The sequence below is a fragment of the Homo sapiens genome, chromosome 2 (assembly GCF_000001405.40).
Source record: "Homo sapiens chromosome 2, GRCh38.p14 Primary Assembly".
NCBI lineage: Eukaryota > Metazoa > Chordata > Mammalia > Primates > Hominidae > Homo > Homo sapiens.
In genome coordinates, this window is record NC_000002.12 from 170,610,796 (window position 1) to 170,635,937 (window position 25,142).

Below are 25,142 nucleotides of genomic sequence, written 5' to 3' on the forward strand. Positions count from 1 at the left end.
GCATTTGGGTAGTAGATGAAATTTGAATTGTTTATTTTGATGTGAGATGCTTGTTCTAATTATTGAGCAATTTATATATTGTGAAGCTAGTTTATATAATTCTCAATACATGGACACAGAGCTGGAAATATATTAATATTCTCCAAAGCTATACTATCATGGAAAAGAGAATAGTCTCTGAACCAAGTAGTTGCAGATCCATGAGACCAGAGGAGCCGTTGAGTCTGTTCTTTTCGGGAAGCAAGATAAGCATGGCTGGTGCTTTATTAACCTCCATGTAGGATTCAGATTTACCCCAGTGAAAGGCATGGCAAATTCATCAGGACTACAAACAAACCATGTTCTGAGATGGATGGGATTAGCAGGTCAGCCCCCTCGGCAACTGGAGGGGCACCACCTAGATCCTTATGAAGCGGAGATTTGGCAGATTAAAAACACTCTGCCTCAAAATTACTTACATAACATCCATCATGTAGAAGCAGTGTGTTTAACCCATGATTGGGGTAATGTTTTTAAGTAAATATTCTATCAACAATGATTGGGCTTTTTTGTTTGTTTGTTTTTTTAAAGGGCAAGGGCCAGAGTCATTTTGGCAAAATAGAATCCCCAAAGACCAGCCCCTGGAATAACACTTATTGCAGCAAAGCTTCACGTAAAATTTGTAAAATGGGTATGAAAAAAAATTTGCACAAAATGCGGGTGTTGAGGACAGTGGGGACAGTGGGGACAGTGGGAATTCTACAGATTGGAAATGAAATCAGGAGTAGTTCAGTGTTTTCTCCTTGAAAGTTATATTCCTGGGGATGGGAGAGGACCAGGCAGGAGAATTCAAAAGCCTCCTACTACTGCATTCAATAAAATAAAAAGAAGACAGCATGTTAAAGAGACTAGCAATAACATTTCATAAATCTTTGAAAATAGCAACCATGGGTATAGCACAATTAATTTCTATACACCATCTCTTTTTCATAGGGAACTTGTCAGTTTCTCCCTCCCTAGAGCTTCAGTGAGGAGTTTATGGCTTTATTTTGCTTTGTTACAAGTGAATAGACTGAAGCAGGGTTTTTCCTCCTGTGTGGACCTACATCCAAATGTAGGAACTTCACAGATCAATTTTTGAATCCCATTTCCTCCTTGGCCCAAAAATGCTTCTCAAAAAATAGAAAAATTATGTTGTCTGTAGTATCCTAATGGATCTCCAGGCCAGTTCTCAGGGACACTGAGTCCTATTCATAGAACAACAGTGGACTGCCTGGCCACACCTTCCCTTGATACCTGGGCATGATAGGAGAGCCTGGACTCAGCCACCCCTTCCCTAAAAATCTGCACTCCCACCAGTTAGCATAAACTAATGCATTGTCTTGTCTGTCACCTGTTCCACTCTTTGGTCCAGCTCCCATGAACCCAAACATTTCACAGGAAAGAGCATGACAGGGCAGGCCAACCCTGGTGGTGCAAGGGCCATTCCTAGTGTGTGTCTGCATTAAGGGGTTTATGTGAGGTGTCATCAGATCTTGGGAAAGGAAGCTTGGCAGCGCCAGTGCTCAGGGCCTTATGGACAGCAGGGCTAGTCATTGTGCCCTGACCTATGATTCCTTTTTTTGTGTAAATAACCTCTATCACTTTCTAACATTCTATATGCCACTCTTACTTATTACCCCTATTGTTTATTGTGTCTGCCCCTCATTAACTGCTAAACTCCATAAGGGCAGAGATCTTTGTTCACTACCACATCCCCAGTGTGTAGAACAAAGCCAGGCACAGAATAAGCACTGAATAAAATCAAATGAGCAACAAGGAACAGATTTCACCATCAGGGAGAAAAGGAGTCTGACACGCTGACCCACACGTAACAGTGGAGGCAGGAGTTAGAGGGAGTAAGGATTCTGGGTGCAACATGGCAATGGATATTTGCGCTCATTTTACCTTACCTAGCCTAGTGCAGGTATTGCATGGAGGAAGAGACCATGCTTGTGAACTAGAGAGAGGCTTTGTTAAATTCCCTAATACTTCAGGACAAGCAACCTTACTGTGCAGCTTTCTTAGCAGAGCATGACCCACGGAAGATGTCTCCTTTTTCACTTTAGAAAGACTCAAGCACTGTCTTTTTGAGGACTATAAGCTCTCACAGATTGGGTGCATCAGAAGCAATCTGTCCCTGGTAAGTGGGGAGGCCTACGCGGAGCACTGGGACCAGGGGCAACACTCAGCTTAGGGTGTGGACTGGCCATCCTGAGCAGGCGACTCTGGTAATGCGGAAAGCAGGGCCATACTCCAGTCTCTCTCACCACCCACCTGGAGCTCTGCAGGAACTTCCCAGCTACCCTCCAGCTTTCACAAACTATTCTGTGTACCAACACTAGATCATCTCTATTAATCTCACTCACTCTCAGCAATGACTTTTCAGAAGCATGAAAACAACCTCCCATCAACTTCTGGTTTGGAGTGCTGAACACAATTCAGCCTGCCAGCTCTTAGTTCCCACCCCTACCTGCAATCCAAGTTCACACTGGCACTGATGGGACTTCACAGAAGAGGTTGTTCCATTTGATATCTTAAGTCTATGTTGAACTCTGACGCACACCTCAGTCCTTCCATCCTCTACCCAGAGCATCCAAGCTCCACATTAATCCTTCCTTCTCTACTACCACACCTGAGATTCTAAGCACTACTGCTAAAAAGCATATTAATGCAGATTGATGCCACTCACAAAATCATCATCTCTAGTCCTAGCTGGGCCTATAACACTCTCCCAAGTCCGAGTCCTGTGATGGTTAATACTGAGTGTCAACTTGACTGGATTGAAGGATACAAAGTATTGATCCTGGGTATGTCTGTGAGGGTGTTGCCAAAGGAGATTATCATTTGAGTCAGTGGGCTGGGAAAGGCAGACCCACCCTTAATGTGGATGGGCACCATCTAATCAGCTGCCAGTGTGGCTAGAATATAAAGCAGGCAGAAAAATGTGAAAGGAAGAGACGAGACAAGACGAGCCTCCCAGCCCACATCTTTCACCCATGCTGGATGCTTCCTGTCCTCGAACGTGGGACTCCAAGTTCCTCAGTTTTGGGACTCAGCTGACTCTCCTTGCTCCTCAGCCTGTAGATGGCCTATTGTGGGACCTTGTGATCATGTAAGTTAATACTTAATAAACTCCTCTTAATATGTATATCCTATTAGTTCTGTCCCTCTAGAGAACCCTGATTAATACAAGTCCCGAACAAGCTCCCACTCCCATCCCCTTCTGCATTCTATTTCAAGATTTCATCCCTCTCTTCAATCCTCGTGCTCTCTCTCCCACCTCCCCTACCCCTAGGGTGTAGTAGAAGCAATGGGGCATAACAAAGGGGGCATGGACTTTGGTGCCAAATGAATCCTGGCTCAACTCTCTGCTGCTTAGTTGGATAAACCTAAGTGATTTATTTTTTTCTGCAAAATGAGGATAATAATTCTCACCTTGTAAGGTTGCTAGAGTATTAAGTGAGATAATTTATATAAGGCATCCAGAATGCCACCTGACACAAAGCACACTACTCAACACATAGTAGCTGTTATGATGGGGATCATCATTGTCTGCAGACTATCTGGATTCCTGGGCTCTCTTTGGAGTAGAGAGAGGCTGCAAGGTAGGAACTCCCTTTACTTCCTACTGGGATTTCCAAATGTTAAATCCAGCTGCACCCATCATGAGCTGACCCTGCCATTTCCACAAATAAGTTGCTCTTCCTTCTCTCACCAGCACTTACTCCTCTTTGCTGTGCTCTTAACCAGAGTTTCTCAAACTTAATGCACTCACAGATCATCTGGAACCTTAATATCAGATTCTGATTCAGTAGGTCTGGAACAGACTGAGATCCCATATTTCTGACAATCTCCCAGGTGATGTTGATGCTGCTGGTCCAAAGCCCAGCATCTATAGCATAAGGCTTTCTATCAATCACATTCTGTCCTGCTGCACCAAGGCCACAACTCCCCTCAGTCCTGACTCTCAGAGAATTCACAGGCCCTATCTCTTCTGTCTTTAGAAAGTTCCCTCCCAGCATGAGCCCTCCACCTGTTGCTCTCTTCTCCACTCTTCACAGCCTCATTCCTTGGAAGGTAACTCTTACTACTGGCCCTTCTTCACCTCCCCCTCCCTCCCTTGCTCACTAATCTAGCTTTTGCCTCCAACACAGTCTTGAAACTGATGTTATTTAATGTCACAGTTACTTTCTGTTTCTTACATTAAATGACCTCCCTGCCTCTCTGTAGCATTCACTACTGTGGAGTCCCTCCCTTTGTGTTTCGGTGTCACACTTTCCTCTGTTTTGCCCCCTGCTCTCTGATCCTGCCTTCACATGTGACTACACTTGAAAATCCCACAGGTACCTAAAACCCAACATATCTAGCTCTAGACGTATCTTCCTCCCTCACTTCACCACACATGTTTACTCAGTACCTACCATGTACCAAACCCACTTCTAGGCACTGAAGGAAAAGCTGTAAACAAAACAGGCAAAAATCCCTGGCCTCATGGAGCTGACAATGGGAAAGTCAGACAAGAAAGAAAATCACTTGTATAGAAGGTGACACCTACAAGTCAGGACGGAGGGATAGGGTGTGCTAGAGGCACAAAGCTGTCTGAGAAAAGAGCTTTCTAAAGAGGGAATGGCCAGTGCCAAGGTCCTGAAGTGAGAGCAAAGCTGGTATGTTCCAGAAACAGCAAGGAAGTCAGTGTAGACAGAGGGAAGTGAGTGAGGGGAGGAGGAGGAATGTATTCATTATCTATTGCTTCTTACAAATTACACCAAAACTTAGTGGCTTAAAACGGCAAACATTTGTTATATCACAGTTTCTGTGGGTCAGGAATCTGGACGCAGATTAGTATTGCAGGATCTGGTCAGCAGCCCACAATGCAATGGGGCTCTCTCTTTGTTCCCAGGTGTATTGGCAGGTTGAGAAATAATAGACACACACAAGATAGTGAAAGCTGGGTCCAGGGGGTTCACTGCCTTCCGGTCCCATGGTGCCAACAATGCACTGGATATACCAGCGTTTATTATTAAGTTTAGTGAGGGTGGGGGTAGGTTAGTGAGGGATTTAGGGTCATTTGATTATGAGGTGAGATGGTCACATGGGGATGAAGTAATTCTTTCACATAACATTTGTATGTAGAAGTACAGTACATTTGTATGTAGAAGTACAGTATAGAGAGATAAGAATTTACAATATAGTGTGTGTGTCAGTAATTTCTAACAGAGCCTTAAAACAGAAACACAATCTTTCCATAACCTATGATTAGCAAGATATTAATCAGCAGTAACAATTGCAACAAAAGCTGGTTACAAACAATCCATGGAAACAGGACGTGAAGCTAGACAACCGGTTAGACCAGAAATTCCCAGAAGGGAGTATGCCTTAACCCTAAAGAGGCCTAGAAGAGCTGTGGCAAGATGAGGGCGTTTATAGCCCTATCTTATCCATACGGACAGCCACCTCCCCATGCATCCGTTTATAGGCTCTCCACAAGGGTCGCATTCCATTCCTAGAGCTATGAACATCTGCCTTTCTAGGATAGGAATCTTGGTGATGTGAAACCTCCCTGACTGCACGTCCATTCATAGGCTCTCTGCAGGGGGAATCACATCACGTGCAGTTGGCTCATTCTGGCAGTCCAACCTGGCATTGTCTTTACACAATCCTGCATGCAACTTTGTATTTACAATAATCAGGAGCATTTCATCTTTTATTCCATAGCAACAGTTTCAGGGGGTCTCCTTACATCTCCCCCTTCTCTCTGATTTAAATGAACCATAGCAATCATAGCTTGGCACTGATCACAATTGGACTGAAGAATATTTTTTCCAATTTTACACATGAACAATAAACCAATAGTACAAATTATACACAGAACAAAATTAACGATAGTGGATCCTCCCAAAGATTTTACCTATTGAATGGGGTTGAGATTAGATAATCCCTCAGAGATACCGTCTAAAACTTCAGCACCGGGTAAAGCAGTTAAGTGTGCTTGAGAGGCCTCAAAAATCTGTTCTTTTAGTTTGCTTATGTCTAAAGCTTTAAATTATCTTCACTTCCTTGTAAATGGCATTTTACTGATTCCCAATTGTGAACAGACTCATTATATTGAAATGGAGTTATACAAAAATCAGAAGTATTCCAATCACATTGCATTTGTAATCTATGTTCTAAACTCATAATTCTACCTCCCATCCATATAACAGTTTGTCTTAGATCATTAATTTGATTAGCCAATTTTTGATCAATACCTGAGAATTCCACATCCGAGTAGAATTTTTTTGCCATTTATCCACAAAATGAACAGTTTGAATAGATGGACGTAATGCAACTCCAGCAGTAGCAGCAATCACAGTAACAGCAATCAAGCCCATTATTATTGCAATTAATGTAAAAATAAATTGTTTACTCCTTTTAAGAATTTTCTATAGAATATTGTTAATAACATGGATAAAGGGGGAAGATTCCCAAGGCCTATGTAAGGCTACAGGGAGCCAAATATCTTGTCTGGCTCTGACTATTAAAATACTATGATATTGATTAAAGGATGAGTCAATACAAGTATACAAGTAACAATTAACACAGGTAATTATGTTGGTTTTTGAACTAATATGCAACTTTCCTGCTAATAACATATATGGTGGTTTAACACAACTTTTAAGTGGTATAGTTTTGTTGGACTCCATATAGAGAGTATATACATTTTGAGGTGACAAAGTGGATTTACTTATAACACTTTCTCCAGCCCAAACTCTCATACCAGTCATAGCTATTGTTAATCTCCATAATTTGGAATGTTCAGGTCCTATGTGGGGAACAATGAGCCTTGGCTTTGGAGGCGCAACCCCTGCCCCTTTCCACTTAAGAGGAAAAAAGGAGTTAAATCTACGATATAATAGGGGAGGGCTGTCACTACGTTTTTGATAAGTAATATTATAGAGAAAATGTTGACAATCTCTGTGACCTTGAGAGCAATCATTAGTAATATGACCTTTAGGAGCCCAATCAACAATGGTGTAGTGAGAAGAATTAAATAACACGGTTCCTTCTGAGCTAACACAGTCTTTCCATATTAATTTTGTCAGCATTTGAAGACAAGTTGAGAGGACACACAGGTCTAAAGGCTTATATTGGGATGTGTGAATATAATCAGTGATTACTGTTTTGATCTGCCTTAGAGGTTTTAATGAGAGCCCTGATATCAAGTGTCCTAAAGGAGGGACAGAGTGACCAGACGGTAGTGTGACAGCCCAAGTTTGAATATCTAATGAGAGACATACATTAGTGGGTCCCAGGCAGAAAGGTGGATACCTAAAACCTAAAGTGATATTGAAAGGGGTTCCTTCTTCTGAAGGTTGTGCAGGACAACGATCATCTAGAGAACCAGGCATCCAAATACTATCATTAACATAGACCTCGATAGGAGCATCCATCCATGTCACGGCTCGAATAAGAGGAGGAAAAGGAATATAGGCCCAATATGTATAGTTTTTAACAGTCTGTGGCGTAACAGAGGTAGAAGGATCAGTGTCATCAGGAGGAGGCAGAGGTTGAGCCAGACCTGGATCGCTGGAGACAAGTTGTTCAGGATGGCTGTCTGGATTGTCTGTTGTAAAGGAGTTAGCGTGGTCTTTTCTTCTTTTTGATGATTGGATGTGTTAGTTGTTTCCTGCTGTGGTGCTTTTTCAGCAAATTTCTCTGTCTCGTTGTTGCATGCATCTTCAGGATCTGGTCAGCAGCCCACAATGCAATGGGGCTCTCTCTTTGTTCCCAGGCAGATCAGCAGGTTGGGAAATAATAGACACACACAAGATAGTGAAAGCTGGGTCCAGGGGGGTCACCGCCTTCTGGTCCCATGGTGCCAACAATGCTCTGGATATACCAGCGTTTATTATTAAGTTAAGTGAGGGTGGGGGTTGGTTAGTGAGGGATTTAGGGTCATTTGATTATGAGGTGAGATGGTCACATGGGGATGAAGTAATTAACATAACATTTGTATGTAGAAGTACAGTACATTTGTATGTAGAAGTACAGTACATTTGTATGTAGAAGTACAGCATAGAGAGATAAGAATTTACAATATAGTGTGTGCGTCAGTAATTTCTAACAGAGCCTTAAAACAGAAGCACAATCTTTCCATAACCTATGATTAGCAAGATATTAATCAGCAGTAACAATTGCAACAAAAGCTGGTTACAAACAATCCACGGAAACAGGATGTGAAGCTAGACAACCAGTTAGACCAGAAATTCTCAGAAGGGAGTATGCCTTAACCCTAAAGAGGCCTAGAAGAGCTGTGGCAAGATGAGGGCGTTTCTAGCCCTATCTTATCCATATGGACAGGCGCCCCACCCCCATGCATCCGTTTATAGGCTCTCCACAAGGGTCGCATTCCATTCCTAGAGCTATGAACATCTGCCTTTCTAGGATAGGAATCTTGGTGATGTGAAACCTCCCTGACTGCACGTCCATTCATAGGCTCTCTGCAGGGGGAATCACATCACGTGCAGTTGGCTCATTCTGGCAGTCCAACCTGGCATTGTCTTTACACAATCCTGCATGCAACTTTGTATTTACAATAATCAGGAGCATTTCATCTTTTATTCCGTAGCAATAGTTTCAGGGGGTCTCCCTGCAGCTTAGCTGGGTGCTTGTGGCTCAAGGTCTGTTGTGAGGTTACAGTGAAGCTGTTGGCCAGAGCTGCAGTCTCATGTGAAGTCTCAGTTTGGGGACGAGGGTTGGGGATCCACTTCCAAGCTCACTCCCAACCACGTCTCTCACCACATGGGACTCTTTACAGGACTGCGTTACCATGTGGCAGCTGTCTTCCCCTGGAGAGAGTGAGAGAAAGCACACAAGATAGAAACCACAGTCTTTTTCAAACCTCATCTCTAAAGTGATGGCCCATCACTGCTGCCATATTCTTTTTTTTTTTTTTTTTTTTTTTTTTTGAGACAGAGTCTCGTTCTGTTGCCCAAGCTAGAGTGCGGTGGGGTGATCTCAGCTCACTGCAACCTCTGCCTCCCAGGTTCAAGCAATTCTCCTGCCTCAGCCTCCTGAGTAGCTGGGATTACAGGCATGCGCCACCATGCCTGGCTAATTTTTGTATTTTTAGTAGAGACAGGGTTTCACCATGTTGGCCAGGCTGGCTTGCTGCCATATTCTGTTTATTAGAAGCAAGTCACTAAGCCCAAAGAGAGGTAATTAAACAGAATGTGAATACCAAGAAGTGGGGATCATTAAAGGACCACCTTAGAGGCTGTCCACCATAATATGAGGTAAGGCTTATAAGGACTTTGGCTTTTACTCCAAGTGAGATGATAAATCTTTGGAGGGTTTCAAACAAACAAACAACATGATTTCTTTGCTTTTTCCAAACCAAAAAAAAAACACTTCTTCCTTAAGAATTTCATACAAATACCTCAGTCTAACATTCCAGGCAAAACTCCACTTTGCTTTTACAGACTGTACTTCCATGACACATAACAGGCTGAGGCCAATTAATAAGAGTTTACTGTACTGGTTAAGAGTTCAATTCTAGAGACAGAGTGCCTGAGCTGGAATGTCAGCTCCTCTTCCATTTATTAACTATATTAGGCAAGTCATCAAATCTCTCTGCCTCTTTCTCTATAGATAGTGACAATAATTGTACTTTTGTCAAGAACTGCAAAGGGTCTGAGATTTTACCCTGCTTGTAGGCTAACAAGTTAGCCTGCCCCATCTTCACAGAAACTAGCAGAAGGCATGAGATTCCCATGTCAGAGACAAAAGACTTGATTATTCACAAGACAGTAGGCAGCATGAGCTTCATGTTCCCATTGGTTACCCTTGTCCCCAAATCCCATGGGGTAGATGGAAAATGGCCCGGGTAGATCTGTGCACACAGTGGATTTGTGTCACTGTTGAAGAACCCTGAGCTTAGGAACCTTTCAGTCTCGTAACAGGCTGCAGCAAGGCTGCCCACCCTTTGGCCTAGAGGGAGACATTTTCTTTATTATCCTAGTCAGGAAGCGACTCTGTCCTCTGCATTGGAGAAAGACATGATCTCTAGCCTCTCAGGGTGTTTGCCATACAAATTTTTTTTTCTTTTTTTTAGTTGGAGTCTTGCTCTGTCACCCAGGTTAGAGTGCAGTGGCGGGATCTCGGCTCACTGCAGCCTCCGCCTCCCGGGTTCAAGCGCTTCTCCTGCCTCAGCCTCCCGAGTAGCTGGGATTACAGGCACCCGCCACTGTGCCTGGCTAATTTTTGTATTTTTAGCAGAGACAGGGTTTCACCATCTCGGCCAGGCTGGTCTCGAACTCCTGACCTCAAGCAATCCACCCGCCTCGGCCTCCCAAAGTGCTGGGATTACATGCATGAGCCACCGCACCCGGCCAACCATAGAAATATTTTTGAAAAGATAGTCCAGGACAACAGTTGTCACATATGTATAGAAACACTTGGAGAACTGCTCCCCAGGAGGTTACTTCATAGGTTTATTTTATGTTTTATTCAATGAGTTAGTTCATATGGAGTATCTGGTACATAGTAAGGGCTCAATAAATTATTATGACACCCTTCTAATATAACACCTTTCTTCAGGCAAGTTACAAGATGCTCTTCCTTCCCACCTTTCACACATATTTTAAGCTCCATATTAAATACTACAACTTATATGAAGCCTTTTCTTACTACCAACTGGAAATGTTTTTTTGTTTTTTTGTTTTTTTGTTTTTGAGACAGAGTCTCACTCTGTGCCCAGGCTGGAGTGCAGTGGTGTGATCTTGGCTCAGTGCAACCTCCGCCTCCCAGGTTCAAGTGATTCTTCTGCCTCAGCCTCCCGGGTAGTTGGGACTACAGATGTGCACCACCAGGCCCAGCTAATTTTTTTGTATTTTTAGTAGAGATGTTATTTCGTCATGTTGGTCAGGCCGGTCTCAAACTCCTGACCTCAAATGATCCACCCGCCTCGGCCTCCCAAAGTACTGGGGCCACCGTGAGCCACCAGGCATTAGCCACCATGCCCGGCTAGAAATGACCTTTATAATCTGAATTGTGTACCTGTTTTGGAGCACATGTCACATTCTGCCATGTATTACCATGTACCTGTTTTTCCCACCTGTCCCCTAGATTTTAAACCCTTTGAATGTAGGAGCTGATCTTACCCTTGTATTTGCTTTGCATACAACTGACCCTCAGGAAGTAATCTTGCAACTTGGCAGTTGTTCTCAACCTTCATTTCAAAAGCCAAAAGCCAACTATTTCTACCTTTAAATCGGCTCCACCCTTCTAAATACTGAGAATCTAAATCTTACATCCTTTACTTATATAGTTCTAAAAAGAAAAATGCTCAAGTTTCAACTTTCATGTAAGAAAGCCTGAACTACTTAATGTTCAGAAAATCAGTAATTTCCAATGTTGCAGTGTGGCTAATTGTTAAGGTTCCTAACCCTAGCCTACTGTACAGTTTTGAAGCTAGAAATTGTGCCTTAATCCTTTCACAATGTGAGGATATATTAAAATATCCTCAATTAGTGCTTATTTGAATTAGAAATGAATCAAAATGATTTTCTGTCCTGAGAAGAGCAACTTTTAAATATCATATAAAGTGATACATGCTTGCTTAAAAAACAAGTAAAAACTTAAAACAATACAAAAGGAATACAGTGAAAACTACCTTCCTCCCACAAGCCTTACCCCAAGTCCCTGTTAACAGTTTCTTATGCCATTAATATGCAAGGAAATAAATATGCACATTCTTACATTCTTTTATAATATACATTTTTTTTTATTATTATACTTTAAGTTCTAGGGTACATGTGCACAACGTGCAGGTTTGTTACATATGTATACATGTGCCATGTTGGTTTGCTGCACCCATTAACTCATCATTTACATTAGGTATATCTCCTAATGCTATCCCTCACCCCTCCCCCCACCCCACAACAGGCCCCGGTGTGTGATGTTCCCCTTCCTGTGTCCTGGTGTTCTCATTGTTCAATTCCCACCTATGAGTGAGAACATGCGGTGTTTGGTTTTTTGTCCTTGTGAGGGTTTGCTCAGAATGATGGTTTCCAGCTTCATCCATGTCCCTACAAAGGACAGGAACTCATCATTTTTTATGGCTGCATAGTATTCCATGGTGTATATATGCCACATTTTCTTAATCCAGTCTATCATTGTTGGACATTTGGGTTGGTCCCAAGTCTTTACTATTGTGAGTAGTGCCGCAGTAAACATACGTGTGCATGTGTCTTTATAGCAGTATGATTTATATTCCTTTGGGTATATACCCAGTAATGGGATAGCTGGGTCAAATGGTATTTCTAGTTCTAGATCCCTGAGGAATCGCCACACTGTCTTCCACAATGGTTGAACTAGTGTACAGTCCCACCAACAGTGTAAAACTGTTCCTATTTCTCCACATCCTCTCCAGCACCTGTTGTTTCCTGACTTTTTAATGATTGCCATTCTAACTGGTGTGAGATGGTATCTCACTGTGGTTTTGATTTGCATTTCTCTGATGGCCAGTGATGATGAGCATTTTTTCATATGTTTGTTGGCTGCATAAATGTCTTCTTTTGAAAAGTGTCTGTTCATATACTTTGCACATTTTTTGATGGGGTTGTTTGATTTTTTCTTGTAAATTTGTTTGAGTTCTTTGTCGATTCTGGATTTTAGCCCTTTGTCAGATGGGTAGACTGCAAAAATTTTCTCCTATTCTGTAGGTTGCCTGTTCACTCTGATGGTAGTTTCTTTTGCTGTGCAGAAGCTCTTTAGTTTAATTAGATCCCATTTGTCAATTTTGGCTTTTGTTGCCATTGCTTTTGGTGTTTTAGACATGAAGTCTTTGCCCATGCCTCTATCCTGAATGGTATTGCCTAGGTTTTCTTCTAGAGTTTTTATGGTTTTAGGTCTAACATTTAAGTTTTTAATCCATCTTGAATTAATTTTTGTATAATGTGTAACAAAGGGATCCAGTTTCATCTTTCTACATATGGCTAGCCAGTTTTCCCAGCACCATTTGTTAAATAGGGAATCCTTTTCCCATTTCTTGTTTTTGTCAGGTTTGTCAAAGATCAGGTAGTGTAGATGTGTGGTATTATTTCTGAGGCCTCTGTTCTGTTCCATTGGTCTATATTTCTGTTTTGGTACCAGTACCATGCTATTTTGGTTACTGTAGCCTCGTAGTATAGTTTGAAGTCAGGTAGTGTGATGCCTCCAGCTTTGTTCTTTTGGCTTCAGATTGACTTGGCAATGTGGGCTCTTTTTTGGTTCCATATGAACTTTAAAGTAGTTTTTTCCAATTCTGTGAAGAAAGTCATTGGTAGCTTGATGGGGATGGCATTGCATCTATAAATTACCTAGGGCAGTATGGTCATTTTCACAATATTGATTCTTCCTATCCATGAGCATGGAATGTTCTTCCATTTGTTTGTGTCCTCTTTTATTTCGTAGAGCAGTGGTTTGTAGTTCTCCTTGAAGAGATCCTTCACATCCCTTTTAAGTTGCATTCCGAGGCATTTTATTCTCTTTGTAGGAATTGTGAATGGGAGTTCACTCATGATTTGTCTGTCTGTTATTGGTGTATAAGACTGCTTGTGATTTTTGCACGTTGATTTTGTATCCTGAGACTTTGCTGAGGTTGCTTATCAGCATAAGGAGATTTTGGGCTGAGACGATGGGACTTTCTAGATATACAATCATGTCATCTGCAAACAGGGACGATTTGACTTCCTCTTTTCCTAATTGAGTACCCTTTCTTTCTTTCTCCTGCCTGATTGCCCTGGCCAGAACTTCCAACACTATGTTGGATAGGAGTGGTGAGAGAGGGCATCCTTGTCTTGTGCCAGCTTTCAGAGGGAATGCTTCCAGTTTTTGCCCATTCAGTATGATATTGGCTGTGGGTTTGTCATAAATAGCTCTTATTATTTTGATATACATCTCATCAATACCTAATTTATTGAGAGTTTTTAGCATAAAAGGCTGTTGAATTTTGTCAAAGGCCTTTTCTGCATCTATTGAGATAATCATGTGGTTTTTCTCTTTGGTTCTGTTTATATGATGGATTAAGTTTATTGATTTTCATATGTTGAACCAGCCTTGCATCCCAGGAATGAAGCCCACTTGATCATGGTGGATAAGCTTTTTGATGTGCTGCTGGATTCGGTTTGCCAGTATTTTATTGAGGATTTTTGCATCGATGTTCATCAGGGATATTGGTCTAAAATTCTCTTGTTTTGTTGTGTCTCTGCCAGGCTTTGGTATCAGGATGATGCTGGCCTCATAAAATGAATTAGGGAGGATTTCGTCTTTTTCCATTGATTGGAATAGTTTCAGAAGGAATGGTACCAGCTCCTCCTTGTACCTCTGGTAGAATTTGGCTGTGAATCCGTCTGGTCCTGGACTTTTTTTGGTTGGTAAGCAGTTAATTATTGCCTCAATTTCAGAGCCTGTTATTGGTCTATTCAGAGATTCAGCTTCTTCCTGGTTTAGTCTTGGGAGGGTATATGTGTGGAGGTATTTATCCATTTCTTCTAGATTTTCTAGTTTATTTGCATAGAGGTGTTTATAGTATTCTCTGATGGTAGTTTGTATTTCTGTGGGATCCGTGGTGATATGCCCTTTATCACATCTATTTGATTCTTCTCTCTTTTCTTCATTAGTCTTGCTAGCAGTCTATCAATTTTGTTGATCTTTTCAAAAAACCAGCTCCTGGATTCATTGATTTTTCAAAGGGTTTTTTGTGTCTCTATCTCCCTCATTTCTGCTCTGATCTTAGTTATTTCTTGCTTTCTGCTAGCTTTTGAATGTGTTTGCTCTTGCCTCGCTAGTTCTTTTAATTGTGATGTTAGGGTGTCAATTTTAGATCTTTCCTGCTTTCTCTTGTGGGCATTTAGTGCTATAAGTTTCCCTCTACACACTGCTTTAAATGTGTCCCAGAGATTCTGGTATGTTGTGTCTTTGTTCTCATTGGTTTCAAAGAACATCTTTATTTCTGCCTTCATTTCGTTATGTACCCAGTAGTCATTCAGGAGCAGGTTGTTCAGTTCCCACGTAGTTGAGCGGTTTTGAGTGAGTTTCTTAATCCTGAGTTCTAGTTTGATTGCACTGTGGTCTGAGAGACAGTTTGTTATAATTTCTGTTCTTTTACCTCTGCTGAGGAGTGCTTTACTTCCAACTATGTGGTCAATTTTGGAATAGGTTTGGTGTGGTGCTGAGAAGAATGTATATTCTGTTGATTTGGGGTGGAAAGTTCTGTAGATGTCTATTATGTCTGCTTGGAGCAGAGCTAAATTCATTTCCTGGATATCCTTGTTAACTTTCTGTCTCGTTGATCTGTTTAATGTTGACCGTGGGGTGTTGAAGTCTCCCATTATTATTGTGTGGGAGTCTAAGTCTCTTTGTAGGTCTCTAAGGACTTGCTTTATGAATCTGGGTGCTCCTGTACTGGGTGCATATATATTTAGGATAGTTAGCTCTTCTTGTTGAATTGATCCCTTTACGATTATGTAATGGCCTTCTTTATCTCTTTTGATCTTTGTTGGTTTAAAGTCTGTTTTATCAGAGACTAGGATTGCAACCCCTGCCTTTTGTTTTCCATTTGCTCGGTAGATCTGTCTCCATCCCTTTATTTTGAGCCTATGTGTGTCTCTGCACGTGAGATGGGTTTCCTGAATACAGCACACTGATGGGTCTTGACTTTTCATCCAATTTGCCAGTCTGTGTCAATTGGAGCATTTAGCCCATTTACATTTAAGGTTAATATTGTTATGTGTGAATTTGATCCTGTCATTATGATGTTAGCTGGCTATTTTGCTCATTAGTTGATGCAGTTTCTTCCGAGGATAGATGGTCTTTACAATTTGGCAAGTTTTTGCAGTGGCTGGTACCAGTTGTTCCTTTCCATGTTTAGTGCATCCTTCAGGAGCTCTTGTAGGGCAGGCCTGGTGGTGACAGAATCTCTCAGCATTTGCTTGTCTGTAAAGGATTTTATTTCTCCTTCACTTATGAAGCTTAGTTTGGCTGGATATGAAATTCTGGGTTGAAAATTCATTTCTTTAGGAATGTTGAATATGGGCCCCCACTCTCTTCTGGCTTGTAGAGTTTCTGCTGAGAGATCCACTGTTAGTCTGATGGGCTTCCCTTTGTGGGTAACCCGACCTTTCTCTCTGGCTGCCCTTAACATTTTTTCCTTCATTTCAACTTTGGTGTATCTGACAATTATGTGTCTTGGAGTTGCTCTTCTCCAGGAGTATCTATCTTTGTGGTGTTCTCTGTATTTCCTGAATTTGAATGTTGGCCTGCCTTGCTAGGTTGGGGAAGTTCTCCTGGGTAATATCCTGAAGAGGGTTTTCCAGCTTGGTTCCATTCTCCCCATCACTTCAGGTACACCAATCAGATGTAGATTTGGTCTTTTCACATAGTCCCCTATTTCTTGGAGGCTTTGTTCGTTTCTTTTTATTCTTTTTTCTCTAAACTTCTCTTCTCACTTCATTTCATTCATTTGATCTTCCATCATTGATACCCTTTCTTCCAGTTGATAGAATCGGCTACTGAAGCTTGTGCATTCATCACGTAGTTCTCTTGCCATGGTTTTCAGCTCCATCAGGTCCTTTAAGGACTTCTCTGCATTGGTTATTCTAGTTAGCCATTCATCTAATCTTTTTTCAAGGTTTTTAACTTCTTTGCGATGGGTTCGAACTTCCTCCTTTAGCTCGGAGAAGTTTGGTCATCTGAAGCCTTCTTCTCTCAATTCGTCAAAGTCATTCTCCGTCCAGCTTTGTTCTGTTGCTGGTGAGGAGCTGTGTTCCTTTGGAAGAGGAGAGGCGCTCTGATTTTTAGAATTTTCTGTTTTTCTGTTCTGTTTTTTCCCCATCTTTGTGGTTTATCTACCTTTGGTCTTTGATGATGGTGACCTACAGATGGGGTTTTGGTGTGGATGTCCTTTCTGTTTGTTAGTTTTCCTTCTAACAGTCAGGACCTTCAGCTGCAGGTCTGTTGGAGTTTGTTGGAGGTCCACTCCAGACCCTGTTTGCCTGGGTATCACCAGCGGAGGGTGTAGATCAGCGAATATTGCTGAACAGCAAATATTGCTGTCTGATCGTTTTTCTGGAGGTTTCGTCTCAGAGGGGTACCTCGCCATGTGACATGTCAGTCTGCCCCTACTGGGGGGTGCCTCCCAGTTAGGCTACTCGGGGGTCAGGGACCCACTTGAGGCAGTCTGTCTGTTCTCAGATCTCAAACTCTGTGCTGGGAGAACCACTACTCTCTTCAAAGCTGTCAGACAGGGACATTTAAGTCTTCAGAGGTTTCTGCTGCCTTTTGTTTGGCTATGACCTGCCTCCAGAGATGGAGTCTACAGAGGCAGGCAGGCCTCCTTGAGCTGCATTGGGCTCCACCCAGTTCGAGCTTCCTGGCTGCTTTGTTTACCTACTCAAGCCTCAGCAGTGGCAGGCGCCCCACCCCCAGCCTCACTGCTGCCTTGCAGTTCGATCTCAGACTGCTGTGCTAGCAATGAGCGAGGCTCCGTGGGCATGGGACCCTCTGAGCCAGGCGCAGGATATAATCTCCTGGTGTGCTGTTTGCTAAGACCGTTGGAAAAGCACAGTATTAGGGTGGGAGTGACCCGATTTTCCAGGTGCCATCTGTCACAGCTTTGCTTGGCTGTGAAAGGGAATTCCCTGACCCCTTGTGCTTCCTGGATGAGGCAATGCCTTGCCCTGCTTTGGCTCACGCTCAGTGCGCTGCACCCACCGTCCGACAAGCCCCTGTGAGATGAACCCGGTACCTCAGTTGGAAATGCAGAAATCACCCGTCTTCTGCATCGTTCACGCTGGGAGCTGTAGACTGGAGCTGTGCCTATTCGGCCATCTTGGAACTGTCCTCTTATATTCTTATAAATCAAACTCTGATATTACAAAACCTACAGCCACTGAAGGCATCAAAGCCCCCCTAGAAGTTCACTTTACCAACAATGGTCCATACAGCATCTTTTGTGAAGCTTTAGTATAGGATTGGATAGTAGGCTTCAAGTTTGGATATTTTTACCAAACAATTTTTTTTAAAAGAATCTTCCCATAGTCTTTCCCAGGAACCCTATAACTCTGATCAGGTCTGGGTTTTCATGACTCAAGTGTCATGTTTATGTAGGCACACTTACATCCTATGAAAACCAAAAGTCTCCATGAGAACAGTGAGAAAAGTCAAAATCAGAGTGAGCCCAACCGAAGAACGTTAAGGACAGGATTCATCCATACCCACAGTGTTCTGTCTCTGGGACTTGCTTGTCTGTTTTTAAACAAACTCTGTTCTGTGTAATTGGACCTCCGATTAATACACTGTCTCAGACAGGCTGGCCAGTATGGGCATAAACTGTCAAAAGTTTAGGATTGGATGATTTAAAATGATCCAGATTCAATCCCCAGAATCTTGCATTTCTGCTGGACTTCTGCTGGACTGCCAGCCACCCTGATTACCCCTCCAAATGATGCCCACTTCCTGGATTAGCAGCCAGTATCACCTGACTCACCCTCTGGTGAGGCTGTATCTGAGGCTACAGAGTCTTAGATCTTCCCTGTTATTTTTCCCCCATCCCAAGCATCTATAAACTGGCCAGAAGCTTCATGAGGGTGATTTTAGCAGAGGGTAAAATTATCATAAAAGTACCATCACCATCTAAAAACAAATATACCCTGAATCCTTTTTCTTGTAATACCTTTTTTATATCAGAACTAAGGGTATACTGAAGACTAATGTTAAAAGCCACACAACGGGCTGGGTGCGGTGGCTCACACCTGTAATCCTAACACTTTGGGAGGCCAAGGCAGGTGGATTGCCTGAGCTTAGGAGTTCAAGACCAGCCTGGGCAACATGGTGAAACTCCATCTCTACTAAAATACAAAAAATTAGCTGGGCATGGTGGCACATGCCTATAATCCCAGCTACTCACGAGGCTGAGACAGGAGAATCACTTGAACCTTGGAGGCAGACATTGCAGTTAGCCAAGATTGTGCCACTGCACTCCAGCCTGCGCAACAGAGCGAGACTCTATCTAAAAACAAACAAACAAAACCCACACAATAATGAACTAGAATGTAATTCCTCTAATGAACTCAGCTATAATATTAATGATCTGATTTCCATTCCAAGACGGCCAAATAGGAACAGCTCCATTCTACACCTCCCAGCATGATCAACACAGAAGATGGGTGATTTCTGCATTTCCAGCTGAGGTACCTGCTTCATCTCATTGAGACTGGTCAGAAAGTGGGTGCAGCCCATGGAGGGCGAGCTGAAGCAGGGCGGGGCATTGCCTCACCTGAGAAGCACAAGGGATCGGGGGATTTCCCTTTCCTAGCCAAGGGAAACCGTGACAGACTGTACCAGGAAAATCGGGACACTCCACCTAAACGTGGCACTTTTCTGAAGGTCTTAGCATGCAGCACACCAGGAGATTATATCCTGCACTTGGCGCAGTGGGTCCCACCCCCATGGATCCTTGCTCATTGCTAGTCCGAGATCAAATTGCAAGGCGGCAAGCCTGGCTGGTGGAGGGGTGTCCACCATTGCTGAGGCTTGAGTAGGTAAACAAAGCTGCCAGGAAGCTCGAACTGAGTGGGGCCCACCGCAGCTCAACGAGGCCTGCCTGCCTCTGTAGACTCCACCTCTGGAGGCAGGGCATAGCTAAACAAAAGGCACAGAAATTTCTGCAGATTTAAACGTCCCTGTGTGACAGCTCTGAAGAGAGCAGTGGTTCTCCCAGCACAGTGTTTGAGCTCTGAGAACAGATAGCCTGCCTCCTCAAGTGGGTCCCTGACCCCCGTGTAGCCTAACTAGGAGACACCTCCCAGTAGAGGCCGACTGACACCTCATACAGCTGGGTGCCCCTCTGAGACGAAGCTTCAGAGGAAGGATCAGGCAGCAACATTTGCTGTTCTGCAGCCTCCGCTGCTTATACCCAGGCAAACAGGGTCTGGAGTGGACCTCCAACAAACTCCAACAGACCTGCAACTGAGGGACCTGACTGTTAGAAGGAAAACTAACAAACACAAAGGAGTAGCATCAATATCAACAAAAAGGACATCCACACCAAAACCCCATCTGTAGGTCACCATCATCAAAGACCAAAGGTAGATAAAACCACAAAGATGGGAAGATACCAGAGTAGAAAAGCTGAAAATTCTAAAAACCAGAGTGCCCCTTCTCCTCCAAAGGAACGCAGCTCCTTGCCAGCAACAGAACAAAGCTGGACGGAGAATGACTTTGACGAGTTGAGAGAAGAAGGCTTCAGATGACCAAACTTCTCCGAGCTAAAGGAGGAAGTTCGAACCCATCGCAAAGAAGTTAAAAACCTTGAAAAAAGATTAGATGAATGGCTAACTAGAATAACCAATGCAGAGAAGTCCTTAAAGGACCTGATGGAGCTGAAAACCATGGCAAGAGAACTACGTGATGAATGCACAAGCTTCAGTAGCCGACTCTATCAACTGGAAGAAAGGGTATCAATGATGGAAGATCAAATGAATGAAATGAAGTGAGAAGAGAAGTTTAGAGAAAAAAGAATAAAAAGAAATGAACAAAGCCTCCAAGAAATAGGGGACTATGTGAAAAGACCAAATCTACATCTGATTGGTGTACCTGAAAGTGATGGGGAGAATGGAACCAAGCTGGAAAACCCTCTTCAGGATATTACCCAGGAGAACTTCCCCAACCTAGCAAGGCAGGCCAACATTCAAATTCAGGAAATACAGAGAACACCACAAAGATAGATACTCCTGGAGAAGAGCAACTCCAAGACACATAATTGTCAGATACACCAAAGTTGAAATGAAGGAAAAAATGTTAAGGGCAGCCAGAGAGAAAGGTCGGGTTACCCACAAAGGGAAGCCCATCAGACTAACAGTGGATCTCTCAGCAGAAACTCTACAAGCCAGAAGAGAGTGGGGGCCAATATTCAACATTCAATGTGCAGAGACACACACAGGCTCAAAATAAAGGGATGGAGGAAGATCTACCAAGCAAACGGAAAACAAAAAAAGGCAGGGGTTGCAATGCTACTCTCTGATAAAACAGAGTTTAAACCAACAAAGATCAAAAGAGACAAGGAAAACCATTACATAACGGTAAAGAGATGATTCCAACAAGAAGAGCTAACTATCCTAAATATATACAGGAGCACCCAGATTCATAAAGCAAGTCTGAGAGACCCACAAGGAGACTTAGACTCCCACACAATAATAGTGGGAGACTTTAACACCCCACTGTCAATATTAGATCAACGAGACAGAAGATTAACACGGATATCCAGGACTTGAACTCAGCTCTGCACCAAGCAGACCTAATAGACATCTACAGAACTCTCCACCCCAAATCAACAGAATATACATTCTTTTCAGCACCACATCGCACTTGTTCCAAAATTGACCACATAGTTGGAAGTAAAGCACTCCTCAGCAAATGTAAAACAACAGAAATCATAACAAACTGTCTCTCAGACCACAGTCAAATTAGAACTCAGGATTAAGAAACTCACTCAAAACCGCTCAACTACATGGAAACTGAACAACCTGCTCCTGAATGACTACTGGGTACATAACGAAATGAAGGCAGAAATAAAGATGTTCTTTGAAACCAACGAGAACAAAGACACAACATACCAGAATCTCTGGGACACATTTAAAGCAGTGTGTAGAGGGAAACTTACTTATAGCACTAAATGCCCACAAGAGAAAGCAGGAAAGATCTAAAATTGACACCCTAACATCACAATTAAAAGAACTAGAGAGGCAAGAGCAAACACATTCAAAAGCTAGCGGAAGCCAAGAAATAACTAAGATCAGAGGAGAACTGAAAGAGATAGAGACACAAAAAACCCTTCAAAAAAACCAACGAATCCAGGAGCTGGTTTTTTGAAAAGATCAATAAGATTGATAGACTGCTAGCAAGACTAATAAAGAAGAAAAGAGAGAAGAATCAAATAGACATAATAAAAAATGATAAACGGCATATCACCACTGATCCCACAGAAATACAAACTACCATCAGAGAATACTATAAACACCTCTATGCAAATAAACTAGAAAATCTAGAAGAAATGGATAAATTCCTCGACACTTATACCCTCCAAAGACAGCTGAATTGCTGAATAGACCAATAACAGGCTCTGAAATTGAGGCAATAACTAACAGCCTACCAACCAAAAAAAGTCCAGGGTCAGACAGATTCACAGCCGAATTCTACCAGAGGTACAAGGAGGAGCTGGTACCATTCCTTTTGAAACTATTCCAATCAATAGAAAAAGAGGGAATCCTCCCTAACTCATTTTATGAGGCCAGCATCATCCTGATACCAAAGCCTGGCAGAGACACAACAAAACAAGAGAATTTTAGACCAATATCCCTGACGAACATCGATGCAGAAATCCTCAATAAAATACTGGCAAACCAAATCCAGCAGCACATCAAAAAGCTTATCCACCAAAATCAATTTGGATTCATCCCTGGATGCAAGGCTGGTTCAACATACGCAAATCAATAAACTTAATCCATCATATAAACAGAACCAAAGAAGAAAACCACATGATTATCTCAACAGATGCAGAAAAGGCCTTGGATATAATTCAACAGCGCTTCATGCTAAAAACTCTCAATAAACTAGGTATTCAAGGAACATATCTCAAAATAGTAAGAGCTATTTATGATAAACCCACAGCCAGTATCATACTGAATGGGCAAAAACTGGAAGCATTCCCTTTGAAAACTGGCACAAGACAGGGATGCCCTCTCTCACCACTCCTATCCAACATAGTGTTGGAAGTTCTGGCCAGGGCAATCAGGCAAGAGAAAGAAAGAAACGGTATTCAGTTAGGAAAAAAGGAAGTCAAATTGTCCCTGTTTGCAGATGATTGTATATTTAGAAAACCCCATTGTCTCAGCCCAAAATCTCCTTAAGCTAATAAGGAACTTCAGCAAAGTCTCAGGATACAAAATCAATGTGCAAAAATCACAGGCATTCTTATACACCAGTAACAGACAAACAGAGAGCCAAATCATGAGTGAACTCCCATTCACAATTCCTACAAAGAGAATAAAATACCTCGGAATGCAACTTACAAGGGTTGTGAAGGACCTCTTCAAGGAGAACTACAAACCACTGATCAACGAAATAAAAGAGGACACAAACAAATGGAAGAACATTCCATGCTCATGGATAGGAAGAATCAATATTGTGAAAATGGCCATACTGCCCTAGGTAATTTATAGATGCAATGCCATCCCCATCAAGCTACCAATGACTTTCTTCACAGAATTGGAAAAAAACTACTTTAAAGTTCATATGGAAACAAAAAAGAGCCCACATTGCCAAGACAATCCTAAGCCAAAAAAACAAAGCTGGAAGAATCACGCTACCGGACTTCAAACAATACTACAAGGCTACAGTAACCAAAACAGCATGGTACTGGTACCAAAACAGAGATATAGACCAATGGAACAGAACAGAGGCCTCAGAAATAACACCACACATCTACAACCATCTGATCTTTGATAAACCTAACAAAAAACAAGCAATGGGGAAAGGATTCCCTATTTAATAAATGGTGCTGGGAAAACTGGCTAGCCATATGTAGAAAGCGGAAACTGGATCCCTTCCTTACACCTTATACAAAAATTAATTCAAGATGGATTAAAGACTTACATGTTAGACCTAAAACCATAAAAACTGTAGAAGAAAACCTAGGCAATACCATTCAGGACATAGGCATGGGCAAGGACTTCATGACTAAAACAGCAAAAGCAATGGCAACAAAAGCCAAAATTGACAAATGGGATCTAATTAAACTAAAGAGCTTCTGCACAGCAAAAGAAACTACCATCAGAGTGAACAGGCAACCTACAGAATGGGAGGAAATTTTTGCAATCTACCCATCTGACAAAGGGCTGAAATCCAGAATCTACAAAGAACTCAAACAAATTTACAAGAAAAAATCAACCCCATCAAAAAGTGGGCAAAGGATATGAACAGACACTTTTCAAAAGAAGACATTTATGCAGCCAACAGACACATGAAAAAATGCTGATCATCACTGGTCATCAGTGAAATGCAAATCAAAACCACAATGAGATACCATCTCACACCAGTTAGAATGGCGATAATTAAAAAGGAAACAACAGGTGCTGGAGAGGATGTGGAGAAATAGGAACACTTTTACACTGTTGGTGGGAGTGCAAACTAGTTCAACCATTGTGGAAGACAGTGTGGCGATTCCTCAAGGATCCAGAACTAGAAATACCATTTGACCCAGGGATCCCATTACTGGGTATATACCAAAAGGATTATAAATCATGCTACTATAAAGACACATGCACATGTATGTTTATTGTGGCATTATTCACAGTATCAAAGACTTGCAACCAATCCAAATGTCCAACAATGATAGACTGGATTAAGAAAATGTGGCACATATACACCATGGAATACTATGCAGCCATAAAAAATGATGGGTTCATGTCCTTTGTAGTGACATGGATGAAGCTGGAAACCATCATTCTGAGCAAACTATCTCAAGGACAGAAAACCAAACACTGCGTGTTCTCACTCATAGGTGGGAATTGAACAGTGAGTACACTCGGACACAGTAAGAGGAACATCACACACCAGGGGCCTGTCGTGGGGTGGGGGGAGCGGGGGAGGGATAGCATTAGGAGATATACCTAATGTAAATGACAAGTTAATGGGTGCAGCAAACCAACACAACACATGTATACATATGTAACAAACCTGCACATTGTGTACATGTACCCTAGAACTTAAAGTATAATAAAATATATGTATATATTAACGATCCTCACAGTGAGATTGGAAGCTTTGTAATATCTCTTAAAGATCACATTATAGGGCATCTCTGTTCTTTAAGTCTAATCTGTGATCAAAAGAAATAAAATATTGTATTTTAAACATGTTTTCTTTCTTACATATTTATAGATAAGGGGAAGGAGGAGGAGATATCCAAAGGTCTAAAAAAGAGAAAGAGAAAATGAATTTAATCAATAATGTAAACCAAGTTCGTAACCACATGTATGTAATATGCAACACCCCTGACTGACATTTCCTTGTACAAATTACCTTAGAAAGTGAACCCAGGC

General features: G+C 42.2%; 1 protein-coding gene and 1 long non-coding RNA gene across 25 annotated transcripts in view; one reads left to right on the forward strand and one right to left on the reverse strand.

Annotated features, from left to right (window-relative positions):
• The window catches only part of MYO3B (myosin IIIB), a 477,021-nt gene that overhangs the window by 432,649 nt on the left and 19,230 nt on the right, over nucleotides 1-25,142 (forward strand). The window lies entirely within an intron of this gene.
• The window catches only part of LOC100130256 (uncharacterized), a 96,216-nt gene continuing 76,070 nt past the window's right edge, over nucleotides 4,997-25,142 (reverse strand). For 13 of the 14 annotated variants that reach the window (NR_187625.1, NR_187623.1, NR_187620.1 and 10 more), the window contains one exon: nucleotides 4,997-8,849. This is a non-coding gene — a long non-coding RNA (uncharacterized LOC100130256). Of the gene's footprint in view, nucleotides 8,850-24,931; nucleotides 25,014-25,142 lie in introns of those variants that run through there. The other variant, NR_187630.1, reaches the window with a different exon arrangement.